The sequence below is a fragment of the Homo sapiens genome, chromosome 1 (assembly GCF_000001405.40).
Source record: "Homo sapiens chromosome 1, GRCh38.p14 Primary Assembly".
Taxonomy (NCBI): domain Eukaryota; kingdom Metazoa; phylum Chordata; class Mammalia; order Primates; family Hominidae; genus Homo; species Homo sapiens.
Window position 1 is genome coordinate 3,134,373 of NC_000001.11, and position 16,532 is coordinate 3,150,904.

The 16,532-nt window shown below is 58.9% G+C and overlaps 1 protein-coding gene across 2 annotated transcripts in view, besides 6 other annotated features; it reads left to right on the forward strand.

Moving 5' to 3' along the window:
• The window catches only part of PRDM16 (PR/SET domain 16), a 369,419-nt gene that overhangs the window by 65,170 nt on the left and 287,717 nt on the right, over positions 1-16,532 (forward strand). The gene's annotated exons all lie outside the window — the stretch shown is intronic.
• Positions 1,065-1,586: an enhancer, noted in NCBI's record as "H3K4me1 hESC enhancer chr1:3052001-3052522 (GRCh37/hg19 assembly coordinates)". NCBI's record gives its function as "activates a minimal SCP1, AML or CMV promoter by ChIP-STARR-seq in naive H9 embryonic stem cells {active_cell/tissue: H9 hESC(naive)}" and the evidence as "EXISTENCE:reporter gene assay evidence [ECO:0000049][PMID:30033119]".
• Positions 1,587-2,108: an enhancer, noted in NCBI's record as "H3K4me1 hESC enhancer chr1:3052523-3053044 (GRCh37/hg19 assembly coordinates)". NCBI's record gives its function as "activates a minimal SCP1, AML or CMV promoter by ChIP-STARR-seq in naive H9 embryonic stem cells {active_cell/tissue: H9 hESC(naive)}" and the evidence as "EXISTENCE:reporter gene assay evidence [ECO:0000049][PMID:30033119]".
• Positions 3,545-4,044: an enhancer, noted in NCBI's record as "H3K4me1 hESC enhancer chr1:3054481-3054980 (GRCh37/hg19 assembly coordinates)". NCBI's record gives its function as "activates a minimal SCP1, AML or CMV promoter by ChIP-STARR-seq in naive H9 embryonic stem cells {active_cell/tissue: H9 hESC(naive)}" and the evidence as "EXISTENCE:reporter gene assay evidence [ECO:0000049][PMID:30033119]".
• Positions 11,207-11,376: an enhancer, noted in NCBI's record as "experimental_6604 CRE fragment used in MPRA reporter constructs". NCBI's record gives its function as "activates a minimal promoter by MPRAs in K562 erythroleukemia cells, with activity observed for both the introgressed and non-introgressed 1:3062228 variant alleles {active_cell/tissue: K562}" and the evidence as "EXISTENCE:reporter gene assay evidence [ECO:0000049][PMID:34662402]".
• Positions 11,369-12,231: an enhancer, noted in NCBI's record as "H3K4me1 hESC enhancer chr1:3062305-3063167 (GRCh37/hg19 assembly coordinates)". NCBI's record gives its function as "activates a minimal SCP1, AML or CMV promoter by ChIP-STARR-seq in naive H9 embryonic stem cells {active_cell/tissue: H9 hESC(naive)}" and the evidence as "EXISTENCE:reporter gene assay evidence [ECO:0000049][PMID:30033119]".
• Positions 15,159-15,659: an enhancer, noted in NCBI's record as "H3K4me1 hESC enhancer chr1:3066095-3066595 (GRCh37/hg19 assembly coordinates)". NCBI's record gives its function as "activates a minimal SCP1, AML or CMV promoter by ChIP-STARR-seq in naive H9 embryonic stem cells {active_cell/tissue: H9 hESC(naive)}" and the evidence as "EXISTENCE:reporter gene assay evidence [ECO:0000049][PMID:30033119]".

Consider the following 16,532-nt stretch of genomic DNA (forward strand, 5'->3'; position numbering starts at 1 on the left):
ATGGCACGGGCATGGGCTGGGCGGGGGCCAATGCCCCCAAAGTCAGGAAGATGCCCCCAAAGTTGGGGCCGAGGGGCCACGCTCATGCCCATCACCCCCTCCTGCCCTCCCCTCCCGCACAGCCTCTGGCATCAGAACTCGCACCCTTGTGCACTCCTGGGAAGCCCCGTCCTGCTTAGACCTACTCCGAGGGCGCGTGGAGCCCGCCTCCCCCTGGAAGGGGAAATAGGAAAAAGAACCGTGAAAAGCTCCGGAGTTAACCGTGGCGGCTTGAAGGACCTTGACCTAATTGGTCCAGAAAAGTCAACATCGGCACCTAGAGTGTTCAGAAAGTGAAGATTAAACTTAAAGCGATTAGACAACTTATTTTTCTTTTCCAAGACATTAGCTGGTCAAAAATGACAAAAATGTCCTTAAGCCTAGCTGAGGCAGAGGCGGCAAACAGGCGGCCTTTTGTTTGGCAGAGGGGCCTGACCACCCGAACCCGCGTGGGACACCCGGGAGCCCACCTCCTGAGAGCCCGGCGAGGGGATCGGGCCGGGTATTAGCCGGGGATTAGACGGCCGAGCTGCTGGCCTGGTAGGGGAGCTGCCGGGGAGCTGCCGGCCACCCGCAGGCTGGGCCTGGGAGGCCCTCCTGGTCCGCGTGCTGCTGCCCCCGGGTCAGGGGCTTCTGGAAGGTGCCACCCCCGGGTCAGGGGCTTCTGGAAGGAAGGGCACTTTCCTCGGGAGCTCGCTCTTTATTTTGGGGGGCTGCGGAGCACCCCAGGAAACAGCAAGGCAGCTCCAAGAGTCCAGCCTGGTCCCCACCAGTGAACCCGAGTCAGCCCAGTCGGCCCCAGGCTCCGCCACCACCCCTTGGCTTCGGGCTGGACTGGCCATGGTGGCCCCATGGGCAGGGTAGGGGGCCTCAGGGAGGTCTGCGGTGGGGGCAGGGCGGGCCACGTGAGGCCCTTCATCGTACCCAGCTCTTCCTGCCTTGCAGACACCGACCACGGGCCCGACATTTTCTCAAGAAAAGAAAACACAAGAGCCCACATTTCTTATCTGAGTTAAACAATGAGCTCCGGGCGTCCTGGGAAGGGGTTTCACAGTGAGTTCAACGTGCCAGGAGCTCTTAGCAGCCGCTGCCAAGGCCAGTAGGGGCTGCAGGCTTGCGCTGGTTCTATGTCCCAGCCCGACCGAGCCCTCCCCCTCCGTGGCCCGCAGGTGACACACCAGCTGTGATCCTGGGTAACCCGAGCCCGCCTGACGCGACATCCCTGGCAGTGACAATTAAGGGGTCTCCTCACCCAGCTTCCGGGCACTGGCATTGTGGGTCCCGCACACACTGCTGGGGCTTAGGCGTAATTATAGGGTCGGGTTACCCCGAGAAACAGGTATTCACACTGTTTAGGACAAACCTCCTCGGAGCTGGATCCCAGCCGTCCCCAGACCGTCCGTCCCTTCCCCGTGGCTCCCTGGGCCGGGTCTCCCTGCGCCCTCCCCTGAGACTCCTCTTCAATGCTCCTTGTTGTCGCAGCCTACAGAGCCTGGGGCTGCAGAGCGGGGCAGGGGCCTCTTGGCGGCCTGGGCGCCCGGCTGGGGAGAGCCTGGGCGTCTCCCTTTGTTTTTCCAGCAGTTGGAAGTAGAGTCCAGGTGTGAGGAGATTGTTTGGCTCGCTTTGTCCGGGAGCCACAGGACACCAGGCTGGGGCGGGGCTGGGGGCAGAACGCTCCTCCAGCAGCCTAGGAGCCACCCCTGGGAAGAAAGGGGGTCTCGGGCAGCCTCGCCATGGGACCACCAGCTTTGGGCCTTCGTTACAGGGGTGATGCTGCCCCGCTGATAGGGTTGGGGGCCTGGGGCTGCAGCGTAGCTGAAGTGGAACCTGCCCAGCCTGCACTTCCCAGCTGGCCAGCCCCGCGCGATGCTCCGGGGTCTCGGCGAGGCACGCCAGGCACTGAGTCCTCAGACCCGCTGTCCGGGGACCTCTGGTGTCGTCCATTTTACAGACGAGGCAGTGGAGGCCCAGAAAGATGGACCGACAGTCCCCGCCTTAGAGTGGCTGAGCTGGGGCTGGGACCCAGGCCTGACCCCCTCTAGGGCTTCCCGTGTCACAGTGTCACTGTTTCCCTGAATTACAGAGCGGGGAGAAGCCGGTTTCTAGTTTGGAGGTGCAATGATCCCCCAAGTCCCTGGGTCCACAGGGGCTCTGGGCCAGCTCCAAGGACTCTAAGGGAGTGGAGCCGCCCTTGCTTTCTGGGGCCACAAAGGTCGTTTCTCTTGCCCTCAATTCTGGCTGCTGGGTGTGGACAGAGGAGTGGGCTTATCAGGCATCTCCTGGCCCCACCGCCCCCTGCTTCTCCCCTCCTGGTAAACACACACTTTGCTCTCTAATGGCTGCAGGCACCCCCACTCCATACAAACCCTTCCTTCAGACAGCTGTAATCAATATTTCATCCTGTCCCATGCTGGGTGACTGGGTCAGTTGGGGGTCCGGGATGCTGGGAACTGACCTGGTTTACAGCCCCCACTGGCCAAGATGCCAGCTGGAACTTGGAGTTATAAACAGTGGACGCTTCTCCTGCTGCCCCTGGCTCTGGGCTGGAGAGAGGCTGGTGCAGGGAGAGGGCTTGGCCCTGGGGTTCTCACCCCCAGGGTCCCATCACCGGACAGATGGGGTGGGTGAAAGGACCTCGGAAGGAGTCATCCCATTTCACAGGTGAGGAAAGAGAGTCAGAGATACACAGTGCAGGGGGTGGGAGTCCAGGCCCAGCCTGGAGCCACTCCCACCAGAACAGGGTGACCCTGGCTGCCTCCGGCATCCCCTCCTCAGCCCAGGCTTCCAGGGACCGAGAGCAGGGCCTTTCCTGCAACAGCAACCTGGGCAGCTGAGCTCTTCTCCCCACGCTGACCTGGCCGCCACCGGCCCGGGTGCAGGCATGTGAGGTGGGTCACACGGTACAGATTTAGATGCGAGCCTGTCACTCGGAGCAAGGAATGTGGTGTCTCCCTCCTTCCTGCAAAGCCTCATCATGTGTGAGAGAGAGAGGCTAGGGAGAGTGGTGGCTGCCAGGGGACACGATGTCCTTTGCATGTTTCTTCCTAGGGTCCCAGAACATTCCAGCAGCAGCACCCCTCCCTGGACACTCAAGGTCTGCTGCAGGGGAGGCACTGGGGGTCAGATTGGATGTGGCAAGGTCCCGAAGAACCGTCCAGGAGGACCGCCTGGAGGAGGTGGCTTTGTGTGGATGGAGGAGGGTGGTGGCTCCCAGAAGCAGCACTGGCAGGCTTCCTTCTCTGCGGCAAACCCCATCCCACGAAGGTGGGAGTCAGGTTTCCTACCAGCAGGTTGATGAAATATTCCTGACAGTGGAGGAGCATGCCTGCTCTTCGCAGAGTGCCTTTCTAATCCTCCTGCACAGGAGCGCACTGCAAGCTGGAGGGGCCGCAGCACCTGCGGCTGGGACCTCGCTTGTCCGGAGGTCCCTGACCTCACGAGCCAGGTCCTGCCATCCTCCCTCGCCGATGCTTGCCAGTTTCCAGGGCCAGGCACCCATTTGTGCTAAATGTCCCACGATGCATTTGAGGCCAGTAGCTCTTGGACTGTGGCTGGAGGGTCCGTCCCTGGGCCAAGGGGCTCGGAGGGGCCTGTGTGCAGAGCTGGCCAGGCAGGGGTGTCCTGCTGGGAGTTGGAATCCCGTGTAAGTTCCCCCTGTGAAGGGCTCCAGCCTGGCAAGCCCAACTTGTCGTTCTTGGGACACGAAAGCAGGGGGACCCCAGCCCTCTTCCAGAGAACTTCCTGCTTCCCTTGCCATTTCCTTCTGTCCCCCTCCTATAATCCTGGGGAGAGGCCGCATCCCTCCCAGCGCAACCACGGGGTGTGGCTTTGTGCAGAAAGGAAAGGATCTTCTTCAAGTTCAACAATGGCTGCCACAAGCCTTTTTGCATCCACTGCTAAGAGAGCTGGAGGCAGCACCCATCGAGTAAATACAAAAGCTGAGACTGGGGGAGCCCATCAGCGGGGAGGCATCTGGGCTGTCCCTGAGCAACCCTGGGCCCCCTGTGGTGTCATGGCTGTGCCCCCGGAGCCGGCGTTGGGGTCTCCGTCCAGTCTCTGAGGTTTCACTTTCCTGTGCTTATGAGTGAAGTCTTCACGCCGGGGTGGCACCCTCACCTTCTGCTGCCGGTGACATACCTGCCCTCACCTGGTACTTGGAGGTGTTTGGGAGAGGTGGGCAAAGTTTGGCTGGAAGGCAACTGAGGGAGCCTGCCATCTTGTCAGAGCCCCTTCCTTTCTGAATATGGTACCAGCACCTTGGGAGTGGGGCAAGACAGCGTTCCAGAAAGTTCCAGAAGGCTTTCCTGCTCAGACCGGTGGGTGCCAACACTCAGGTATTCCCGCCATGCTCAGGGTCACGTTGGTCATCGTGTGAGGAGGGGGCCTTGGAGGGAGCCAGGCGCCCCTGCATGAGGGCACACAGCCGGCTTTCCCTGGGCTTGGTGCAGCTGCCATCTTGTGATGTACCGGGTGTGTTGCTGTTTTCTGGATACTTCAGTAAGAGGGAGGCGGGATGAGGCCGTTCCTTGCGCTGGCCTCTCACCTCCCCCTCGGCCAGTTTTCCTGTGTGCTGTGGGCGTTCAACTTTGACCTTTGGGATAAGATAATGGGACTTCTGTTCTCGGGAGAGGCTTCAGTGGGGGCTTGGGGCCAGGTCTGCAGGGGTCCAGTTTGTCTCCATGACTTACGCTTGTTGATCAATCTAAACGCAGACACACGTGGACGAGTTTTCAGGTTCTCGTTTCAGAGCGGACGGTTGCTTCATCGGGGAGAGGGGGACCCACATTTTAGCTCCACTTGGTGCCACCGGGCCTCCCCTATGTGGAACTGGGGGTGTTGGAACACGGCACGCAGAGATTCTTCTGCACCTGCCTTCCTTCCTCCTGGAGCCGAGCCGTGCAGATGAGACCCATGGAAAGAGCAGGGCTGGGGCTGCCCTTTGGGACCCTGGGGTGCAGAGACTGAGGCTTAATAACGAATCACGTGCCCCTTGGCCCCAGATTGATAGCAGGCGACTTGCTTTTGTGGGTGCTGAGCACCCTTGGGAGAGCAGACGACAGAGCTGCTGGCAGGGGCGGGGTCCCTCGGGGGCTGCAGACCCAGGCGCTCAGCCCAGCAGTGCCGCATCCGGGGGTGCTCGGGCACTGCCTGCTCTCTGTCACCATGAATGCCATCGCGAATAATGCCAAGCATTGTTACAATATCTGTGGGTTGCCGTGGTTCCTGTTCTCCGGGGCCCGGCTGTGATTTTTTTCTCATCTCTGTGCAGAGAACTTTGTGAGAGCTGTGGCCTGCTGGCCAGGAGGGCGTCACCTCGGAAGCCCATGCACCTGACCCTGGTCCTGTTAGCAGGAAAGGGAGCTGCTCCCGTCAAAGGGAAGGAGCTCCAGGCTGAGAGTGGTTTGGTGGGGGTAGCAGTAGGTGAAAGACGGTCCTAAGACACCCAGCCACCTCTTTTCCTCCTCCCTGGTTCAGAGCTGTCCCCTCGCCGGGCTCTGGCTGGGGGCCATGTGCCGTGACCTTGAGCCCTGACAGCCCACTCTTAATCATGCCTGCCAGACAAACACGGCAGGCTGGAGTTCCCGCAGTCAGCCCCGGCGACGCATCTCCCTCGGAGAATGGACCGCGGGCTCTGGATTTTGACAAAGTCACGAGCGAGACTGGCGTTTTAAACCAGCATGTTAGAAAAGCGGCTTTGGGAAGCGATCATTTCTTTCACTTTTAATCCAACATCGGCAGCACCCGAAGTGGTCCCCGCTCCCCCGGCGGATGCAGCCCCCGGATGGCCGTTGCCACGCATTTTTGTTTAGGAACCTGGTTTTTATTAAATGTAATTGCTTCCCTTTCTGGCCTTAAATCAAGGGTGGCCTCAGCCCAGGGACAGCATCAATTTGATTTAATTACTCTGCACTGTAGCCTTCTGAGCCGAGATGTGGCTACGGGGGTCTCACATAGGGCCCCCAACTCAGGATGAGCGCAGAGGCCTTGACGGGGCTGGGAGGTGTTTGCCTCCGAGAAGGGACAGGTGATCCGGAGCCCAAGCTCTCTGACCCCCACCCCTCGCCTGTCTCTGCAGAGAACCGGCCCCGACCATGGTTTCCACTCCCTCGCTGATGTGTTTATTTTTCATTTGCCATTAAAACCACGTTGGCTCTCTAACTCAGGAGCAATTCATTAAGGGCTATTTATCTTTTGCAGCGATATTTTACCCTCAGAGCTGAGCTCAGGGCTGTAAAAACCGGGACAGCGTCGCCACCAGGCAGCTCCTAGAAGGCGTATGGGGGGTGCATGGGCTGCCTGGCCTCCCAGGTGTGAGGGTGGGGCCACAGTCACGCGTCCCTCTCTGCATCCCAGACCCCCACAGCCCATGAGGGGTCCCGCCTCCGTTTCCGCATCCTGCGTTCCATGGTACGACGGATGGGCTTCCCTCGGCAAAACCGTCATCCACATTGATCCCGCAGAAGAAAAGCCGGAGCTGGCGTGGGTGCCCCTGGAGAAGCAGGCGGTCGGAGAAGGGGCACGACATGGCTTTTACTCCCGATACGGATCCCTTTTCCCCAGCATGGAAACCCAGAGCCAGAGGAGTCCCCATGTCCCTGGGTTTTATCAACATCACCAATGGCAAGAGGGCACAGGCAAGGTGGATCCTTGCTCCCTTGGCTCCCAGAACTCTGGGGGAAAACACTGGACATTATTAAGATGATTTGTTAAATAATAGAAAATGTTTTTCATTCCCCAATTTCCAGCTCTCGGTAAAACCATCCTCCGTCCGCCCGCTTCTCATCCCTGATATTTAGACTTATGGGCCAATTTGGGGGTATTTTCTCCTTCTGCCGTGATGAATGCTTCTATGAAACAATGTCATCACAAGTCACCTACCTGCCCTGTCAGCTCAGCATCAATCTCGCTGGGCTGGGCGGTAATTTATGACTGGTGCCTGCAATTTGCAAACCTAATGGGGAGGAGGGACGGGGGAGCCGGCTTGAGCGCTGTCTGCAGCCTCCTCGGTCTCCCCGCATTAGCAGAACAAATGGCGCAGAGATCAGACATCATCTCCAAGGCTCAATAAATATTTTATCAGCCATAATGGAAATTGTCAAATTGATCTAATTGTACAATACGTTATCAGTGAGATATCAAAGCCCGGCCAGGCCTCTGCCCGGACCCTTCTGGGCCGCCCCACCTGCGAGGATGGGAGTCAGAAAGCCCAGGGCGGGCCACAACGTGGTGGCATTAATCATATGTGGCCACAGTGGCTCGTTAAGGAGATGATACATTTTGTGGAAATGGCCTTCTTCTGTTGTGCTTTGCCAGTCTTGATATTTGAAGCAGAGAGGGAAACAGACATAGACAGAGAAGGTGGGACAAATTCAGAACTTTCAGGAAGCATAGATGCATTCTCACTGTCTCAGTTGGGGTGGGGGCGGCCTTCAGTCGGTCAGATGGACCCCAAGAGAGAATGCCACCTGACCCGTTCTGTGCGGAAGCATGTGCTGCCCACGGTAGGGGATTTTTACCTTTTCTGGCCCTCAGGCCTGCCTGGAACGAGAACACTCATGGTGCACCGCGTTTCCGAAAACGTGGGGCCGCACTGTGCATTCGTCAGCCATGGGGTCGCACTCTGGCCCGTGCCAAGCACACCCATCCACCCCGCAGGAGCTGGGAGCACTTCTGAAAACCAAGCTCGTGAGAAACGGAGCTGCCCCAGCCTCCATCGGCTCCCCCCGTCCAGGGCCATTTCCGGGGTCTGGTCTTCCAGGAAGAGGTTGGGGCCAGGGCTGGGGGCAGCTGTCAGTCAAGCGTCTTTCACAGCCAGCCAAGACCTTTTGATTTCTAGAACAAACAGCGATGTCTTAGACCTGGAGCAGATTTGCAAAATCGAGTGAAAACATCTGGCTGTGCTAACAAGCAGCAGCTGAACACGGGGAGCCCTGTCCCGGGGGTGCGGTGGGGACCGGCCCTCCCTGGCTCCTGCCAGAGACCTGAGCTGGGCCCTCCTGCACATGGCCCGACAGTGTGGTCCTCAGCTGCTCCATCAAAGCCTTAATTGACCTTTTGGCATTGCTCCTTGGTCTCGGGGCAGGCGCCGTCGAACGGGATGCACAAAAGCACAGGGATCCTCCTCACCTGCGGCGTCATCCAAAGGCGTGTGGCACCCAGACGTTGAGCAGAGTCTGAGGCTTCAGGGAAGACAGGCTGCCACTGCCGTGTATGTTCCCAGTGTGCGGACCCCAGGGTGCGCACAGGCAACGGAACGCCTGGGATTCCCAAGCCTCGTGCTCCCCCGAGAGCGGGTAATTACCTGGATGTGGACCGTATTAACTGGAAGCCCAGATGTTTATAGAATTCCCTGCCCGCCAAGCTGTGAGGGGAGGCATCTGGAAGGGGCAAAGGGGTCCAGGAGGGGAAACTGATGGATGGCCTTGGCTGGGGCCCTGGTGTTACAGGCTGCGGAGGGTAGCCCAGGCAAGGGACCGGCATGGCTGGCCAGACCCTGAGCTGCCACCACATCAACTGCCCCCTGGCCGGGGCACCCAGGTGCGATGCTGATCTCTCGGCAACAGCTTTTCCATAAGGGAATCCGATGCATTTGCTGGGATGCAGGATTCGGGCTGTGTTGCTGATGAGATCACATAGGGGCTGGAGAATTCGTACCCGCGGGCACCCATGGAAGCCTGAGCTCTGTCTTTTCAGTCGCCTGTCATTTAAAATGAAAGTAAGAAGGGAGACCTTGTGGCAACCGCAGTGCTGGGCCGGGGGGAGTCGCTGGTTTGCAGCCCCTCGGGGGCCGAGTGTTCCGGGCTCTGATTTTTGCTGGCTGAGACACAGGGACCCCTGGGTGTGCGGGACCGTGCCGGGAAGTGTGGACATGGGTCCGGGCTGAGGACTTCGTCAGGTGTCAGGACTCGGGACAGCAGGACCCTCAGGCAGTAGGGCTCCAAGCACCAGCCCCTCGCCCCAGTCCCAGCAGGTGGCCTCCCCAACTTGAGCTGGGTTCATTTCCTCTCTCCACCCCTTCTTTCTTCTCAGCAAAGCAAATGACATTTGAAACTTTATTATTAGTATTATTATTATCATTTTTGTGAGATGGAGTCTTGCTCTGTCACCCAGGCTGGAGTGCACTGGCGCAATCTCCGCTCACTGCAGTCTCTGCCTCCCGGGTTCAAGGATTCTCCTGCCTCAGCCTCCTGAGTAGCTGGGATTACAGGTGTGCACCACCACGCCCGGCTAATTTTTGTATTTTTAGTAGAGATGGGGTTTCATCATTGTGGTCAGGCCAGTCTTGAACTCCTGACCTCAGGTGATCCTCCCGCCTCGGCCTCCCAAAGTGCTGGGATCACAGGCTTGAGCCACCGCGTCCGGCTTATTCTTTTTTTCTAAATAGTGAGGCCCAGAGTGCAGGTGTGTGTCACACACCTCTGGTCTGCAGCCCCTGGGAGCTGAGGCCCTGTCTGTGGATGGAGGAGGAGGGACTGGCAAGCTTGGGGTTCCTGGGGCATCTTGTCATGTGTTAGTCGTAGTGAAGGCTCCACAAGCACTTTTGAGGCCAGGGGGAAGATGCTAAGGGGTCCTCTTTGCCGCCTGTGAAGACAGCTGCGTGGCCACCTGGCCTCTCGCCGCCCACTTCATTTCTTTGATTTCCTCTCTGGCCCCCTCCCATGACTCTACAGGCCTGTGCAGACCCCAGCTTGGGGCGGAGGGACCTATCTGCCACCTGGACCCAGCACTATGGGAGGGACAACTCGTGACCAGCCCCAGCCACCACTGCCCTGAGGAAGGCTCTGAGCCTGTGGGCACCATCACTGCCCTGGATGGGGGCCCGGCCCCACAGGGACCCAGCCCCGGTACATGGACAACCTGGGTCCCTGGGAGGGAGAGAGGCGCCGGCCATCCCTCGGGTTGGATGCAGACAGGCCCGTGTGGCTTTGGGAAAGGCTCCTCCCCATCCCAGCTGCCCTGTCTGCAGAGAGGGGCTGACAGTCCCTGACTCACAGATCCCACAGTTCCCTCCAAATGGTCAGGGTCATTCCCACTCGGCCAGGTCCCAGGCAGGGCGTATCCAGGTGTCCAGGGCTGACCCAGCCTCTGCCTTCCCAGCTCCACTCTGAGGTGGATGACCTTGGGGTGGGTGGGGGAGGGGGTGGCCATGAGCTGTGTGAAGCCCTCACTCTCTGTACCTGCCAGTTGTAGACCCCACAGCACCCTGCGAGATGGTGCTCTGTGTGCCCGCGTTCAGGAGAGGAAACCAAGGCGTGGGGGCTTTGCACCATTGCTTAGGCTACAGATGGGCTATGCACCCAGCCGCCCAGCTCAGCCCCTGCACGGGGTCACCCCCAGTAAAGGGCTCTTTCTTTCCCCTAAATTTGGAGGTCTCAAGAATGCCCTGAGACCAGAAAGCAGAGATACACACATGTCTCAGTCACCTTGGGTCAGGGGGCCCTTCTGCTCTTGGCCACCAGGTAAGGGTTGGGCTGGCAGTCAGGTAAACCCAGAGGTCCTCACTCTCTCCTCCCACCTCCCAGTGAACCCCCAGGGCCTCAGGAACCCCTGTGCGGCTTCAGGTGAGGTCACCTGAGCGAGAAATGCTGGGAGCAGCCTCAGCCCCTCTGCCCACTCGTCTTGGAAGGAACACCCTAGATGTCCCTGCACTTGGATGTCTGTGGAGCCAGCCCAAGTAGGCCCCACGCAGGGGCTGACCTGGCAGGTGATCGTCCATGCCACCCAGCCAGGCTTCCTAGGAGCCGTGTGCCTGGTGTCAGCAGGAAACCGCCCCCACCCCTCTTTGGGTTTGAGCTCCTGGTTGCTATCTAGGAACGTCCACGTGCAGATGGAGAGGGTGCATGCGGCACGGTGTCAGTTCCTCAAAGCACCTGTCAGCCCGTAAACCATTGCCATGGGATACGGGGTGGCTCTTCAGGGGCCTGCAGCTGGCGACCTGGGCCCTGAGCCCACTGGCCAGTGACCTCTGACACTCCAGGGCCAGGTGGCCACACTGTGCTTTTGGGTGTTCCCCAGCCCTGCCTCTGCAGCCCTGGAAGGAGGAACGGGGCCTTGGACGGCAGCCTGGACTGGAGAGTCCCCAGGGGAAGTTCCCAGGCCACCCCAGGGGGCTTCTCCCGAGAGTCCCCTGACCCAGCTGCATCCAGGGCTCTGGTCCCTCTCCACGTGGTGCAGCAGTGAAATTCCACAGCAGAACAGAGCCATGAGCCTCCTGCAGAGATGTGTGTCCTGCGTGGTCCGTACAGTCAGGACGTGCTTCACTCACCCGCCCCACCCGCTCCCGGTCTCTCACTTCCACCCCTGTAGAAAGCGCTCTGGCTGGGCTATCAGCTATGCAGACAGTGAGGTCATTCCTGCCCACCGAGGCTCCCGATAACCTCATTAAGAAAGTGCAATTTATCTAGTCGGGGTCCATTTAATTATCTAATTTTTCTGAGTGAGGTCTGACTCTGTATCGCCCCAGCAGGTGGGCAGCCCGGTCAGCCCGGGGTCAGGCTGACGTCCTGGAGAGGTCCCCCGGCGCCCCCCGGGTCACAGAAATTCGCAAGGTGTGAGCAGCGCCTCGGGACTCACACGCCTCACCGCGGGTATCAGGCCTCCTGGGCCCCGTTAGGGACGCAATGAGGACCCGTTTTCTGCGGGACAGAGGGTTTGGCCGAGCAGGAAAACATTTAGACACACCCCCACACACAGCACACGTGGGCATCAGGGCTCTGCTGCACTGCAGACTCTCCAGCCCCCGCACATTTGGGATATTCTGCCGCCTTCTGCACCGCCCACCCCAACTCCTTACCCTCGGAGGGTGGAAACGGGGGGGCCCGCTAACCAATGAACGTTCGCTGACTTCATCTGGGGTGGGGGGGGCCTCCCCGCTAACAGCCACATTCTCTTTGAAAAAGATAAACAACTGGGCATGGGGATAATCATATAAACCGTTCACAAATCCAACCAGAAGCAATTCATAAAAATGATCTGCTTAAAACCATTGTGCTGCCTTGCCATCCGTTGTCAAAGGTGTGAGGGGTGTGTGTGCACATGTGTTCAGTGTGGGGTGTGCGCACATGTGTGCTTGGTTGGGGTGTATATGTGTGCAAGTGTGTGTGCTCGGTGTGGGGTGTGTGTGCACGTGTGTTCGGTGTGGGGTGTGTACACATGTGTGCTCGGTGTGGGGCATATGTGTGCACGTGTGTGCTCAGTGTGGGGGGTGTGTGTGCATGTGCTTGGTATGGGGTGTGTGTGTGCACGTGTGTGCTCAGTGTGGGGTGTGTGTGCACGTGTGTTTGGTGTGGGGTGTGTCTGCACATGTGTGCTCGGTGTGGGTTGTGTGAGTGCACGTGTGTGCTCGGTGTAGGGGGTGTGTGTGCACATGTGTGCTCGGTGTGGGGTGTGTGTACGTGTGTGCTCAGTATGGAGTGTGTGTGTGCACACGTGTGTGCTCAGTGTGGGGTGTGTGTGCACGTGTGTTTGGTGTGGGGTGTGTGTGCATGTGTGTGCTCAGTGTGGGGGGGTGTGTGTGCACGTGTGTGCTCAGTGTGGGGGGTATGTGTGCACGTGTGCTCGGTGTGGGGTGTGTGTGCATGTGTGTGCTTGGTGTGGGGGGTATGCGCACGTGTGTGCTCGGTGTGGGGTGTGTGTGCACGTGTGTGCTCAGTGTGGGGTGTGTGTATGTGTGCGCTCGGTGTGGGGTGTGTGTACGCGTGTGCTCGGTATGGAGTGTGTGTGTGCATGTGTGTGCTCGGTGTGAGGTGTGTGCACGCACGTGTGTGCTCGGTGTGGGTGTGGACGTGTGTGTTCAGTGTGGGGTGTGTGTGCACACGTGTGCATTCACTTCTAAGTTGGGGCGTGAGGAGGCATCATCAGTGCTGGATAATTCTGGACTTAGAAGGAAAAGAAAGCCTTGAGGTCTGGGGTGTGTGACGTGGGTGCACCTGGGCCTGTTTGCCGTCCCTGTCCCTTTCACTGGCAAATCATCCTCAGGCAGAGCTCAGACATCCACAGGGAGACTGGGGCCTCCGACCAGGTGCCCTGGGCAGTGTATCTGTGCTGTCCGCCTGTGCTGAGATGTCCGACTGTGGACTCCGTCGCCCTGAGGCTATTTCTGCTGTCTTCTCTTTGAGAAATGGGATCTCCAGTGTCTGGAAACTATCATCATTGCCCTGCATGGTCTTTGTGAAGAATGAGACCCCAAATCTTGACCTTGGACTCTTTGGGGAGGCCAAGGCACATCTTGGTTCTGCGTCGCACACAGCACCGGTCCCAAGCAAGGATCTGGGCACCCAGGACTTGGCTCCTGTCCAACAGGCCATCCATACCCTGGGCGGCCTCAGTCAGGCCACCTCCCCCAGGGTTCTTGGGTCCTCATCTGTAAGCCTGGGGCTTGGGCCAGGAGAGGAGGCAGCCAGAGGTGAATCTGAGGTTCCTCCAGGCCATGGGGCAGGCTGAGAGCTGATACTGGCCCCTCTCGCCCCAGCCAGAGCAGAGGGGTTCAGATGCACTGGGCCAGGCTATGTGGAAAACCCCTCACTGCGCTGACAGTCTCTGATTCTGCATTGACCTCAAACCCCATTCTCTGAACCCCATCCTGCGGCAAACCCCATCCTGCTGCTCACCTGCAACTTGGGAATACCGAGATGCATTCAGATTCAAGTTCGGCCTTTGGCGTCTTCTCTCGGGGGCCCTCTGTCCGCCTCAGTTGCAGGTGGTGGGGTGTGGTTGGGCATCAGGACGGTTTTGTGGGAGGGGCTGGGCTGAGAGGTGGGAAGGAGCCCCCGGATGAGTGAAGAAGCTGGGTGCAATCTCATGCCCTGGGTGCAATCTCATGTCCTGGGTGCAATCTCATGCCCTGGTGGCCCTGGTGAGAGCAGGTCGGGTGCCAGGACAGAGCAGCCACAGGTGGCCGCCCAGGGGTTTACTCTAGGGGTGTCCCTCACCAGGCAGCCCTGCAAACCCAGGAGCCAGGAGCTGCAGGAGGGCCAGTGGCCAGAGGTGAGGAAGGAGCTGTCCGGCAGGGCTGGGCTGGGCTGGGTGTCAGGCATTGGGTGCATCCAGCCACTCACCCGCAGCAGGTGGAACCCCTGCCTCACCTTCCCTGCTTCTGAGGGGGCAGCTCCCCATAGTGGTGGCCCAGCCCTGGGGAGCAGCGTCAGGATTTTACAATCCAGGAGATGTCAACTCCTTGCTGGGACCTCCTTGACGCTCACGGGGCTCAGATCCCATCTCAGGTGGGCGGTGACTTGTCCTGGCCGAGCCAGCCCAGTCCTTCTGGAAGTCCAGTTTGTGTCAGAGCAGCGGCCCAAAGCCAAAGGGTGGTGAATCTGGGCACTGCCTGGGACCATGGGGGGACCACAATATCTCTCTAAAATCCCCAAATCCATCCCCACTTTACTTAGCACATGTTGAAAGTCCTTCTAGAAAGCCAGGATGTTTGTTAATTTATTTTTAAGATTTAGTGTGTTGTGGGGGTTCATCGTTCCAAAAAAGGAGGATCCCAGTTGCGGAGGAAATGTTGGAGGAGGGGCAGTGGGGAAGGGCTGGAGCCCAGCTCTACTGGTATCAGGGGGGTCATGGGAGCCCCCCATCCCAGGGGCCCTCCGGCTTTGGCCACCCCGGCTTCTGTCCCCAGCTCCCCACCACTCTTCCTTGGTTCTCTGCCTCTGTGGATTCCTTATTGCAAGGGCACTGGCAAGCTGGGAGAGATGGAAACAGTGGGGGACAGGGGTACGAGAGTCACAGCAAGCCTGGGGGTGGGGGGCATGGAGCCTGGGCAAAGAGCCTGCATGAGATATTGTCAGCCTTGTGGCAGGGGCAGCCACTGGAGGATGGAGAACACGGGTGAGAATGAAAGCCCCAAACCCACAGCTCCTTCCTCCTGAAGAAGATGAAGCAGGCAGGTCTAGGGTGGCAGGATGGCTTCCAGTGGCTCCGAGATTCCCAAAACCAGGAGGCAGGGGGCCAGAGTCGGATGGGGAGAACTGAGCCCCGGGTGGGGGCAGACAGCCTGGGACCCCCACTATGAGGTCTACCCACACGAGGTGCTGTGGGTGCCTGCAGGCCTGCCCTGCCCTGCCACTCCTGGCTGAGGACGTCAGTCTACACAAGGGTGCATACCTGTGTATCCAGACTCCGCCTGGGCCTCTGCAGGGAGCCGTGGGTGCTCCCAGCTGACGGAGGCCAGGAATCCATGCTGTCTTCCTGGGTTTACCACTCAATGAGCCAGGCTGGCATTTGTGAAGCCTCAGGCAGCCCCTGGCCCACAGTTAGGGAATGCCCTTTTATGCAAGATGGTGCTGAATTTTATTTCATCAGGAAGGAGCACCGGCCAGTTCCCTTGTTAATTACCATTTCCTCCATCCATCCACCTTCACCGCTCAGGAGGGAGGGAGGCTCCTGGGCTGGCTGGGGACACAGCAATCCACCCGCCCTACTCATCCAAGCTTAAGGCCAGGGACACGGGTTTTCTGAGATGCGTGTACTCCTGCTGTTACTTTTGAAGCTGCCTAGTTCCTGTTGGGCCTGGACAAGGTTCAAGGAGGCAGGAGCCCCGGGGTTATCCAGGCTCTGCCACGATGGACCAAGAGGCCAGGACAAGTGGACACTGGCTGGGGCGTGTCCATCTCCTGTCATGGCTCCTGCCCTGAGGAGAGGACACGGGTCACCCTGGACACCAGGACAGGGCACAGACATCCCTCCTGAATCTGCTGGAATCCCCCCGAACGCACAGGCGAACTTTACAAGCCTCGCACTGCGTAGGGGGATGGCTTTGGGAGAGCCATGTAACCTTCCAGAACTTGTTTCCTTGTCTGTAAAAGGAAAGCTGTGGGTCTGACACTTGGCCCTTGGCTATCTAAAAATTGAGGTTTGGGGCCGGGCATAGTGGGTCACGCCTGTAATCCCAGCACTTTGGGAGGCTAAGTTGGGCAGGTGACTTGTGGTCAGGAGTTCGAGACCAGCCTGGCCAACATGGTAAAACCCCATCTCAAAAAAAAAAAAAAAAAAAATCAGCTGGGCGTGGTGGCCCGTGCCTGTAGTCCCAGCTAATTGGGAGGTAAGGTGGGAGAATCACTCGAACCCAGGAGGCGGAGATTGCAGTGAGCCGAAATTGCGCCACAGCGCTCCAGCCTGGGTGACAGAGCGAGACTCCATCTCAAAGATAAAGTAAAATAAAATAAAAAGATAAAATAAAAATGGAGGTTTTCAGTCTCTAGTCCAAACACAGACACAGTGCCACCCACTGCGGACTCCCCTTTCCCTGGCATCTCTGGTGCACACCTGCCCACCCTCCCAAGAATCTGGTCATTTAGACTCGAGCTTCAAACACACAGGGGAACTCAGAGTTTTTCCAGTCGCCAGTTGGCCGTTGGGGACGTTTGAGCTTCCTCCTTACTTTTTGGTCTCTGAAGCCCATGGGAGTGGGAGGGAAAGCACAGAGCTGCAAGAGCTATGGAGGCCGGGTGGGGGCGGGGGGGCTGGTCCTAGAGCTATGGAAACGGGGG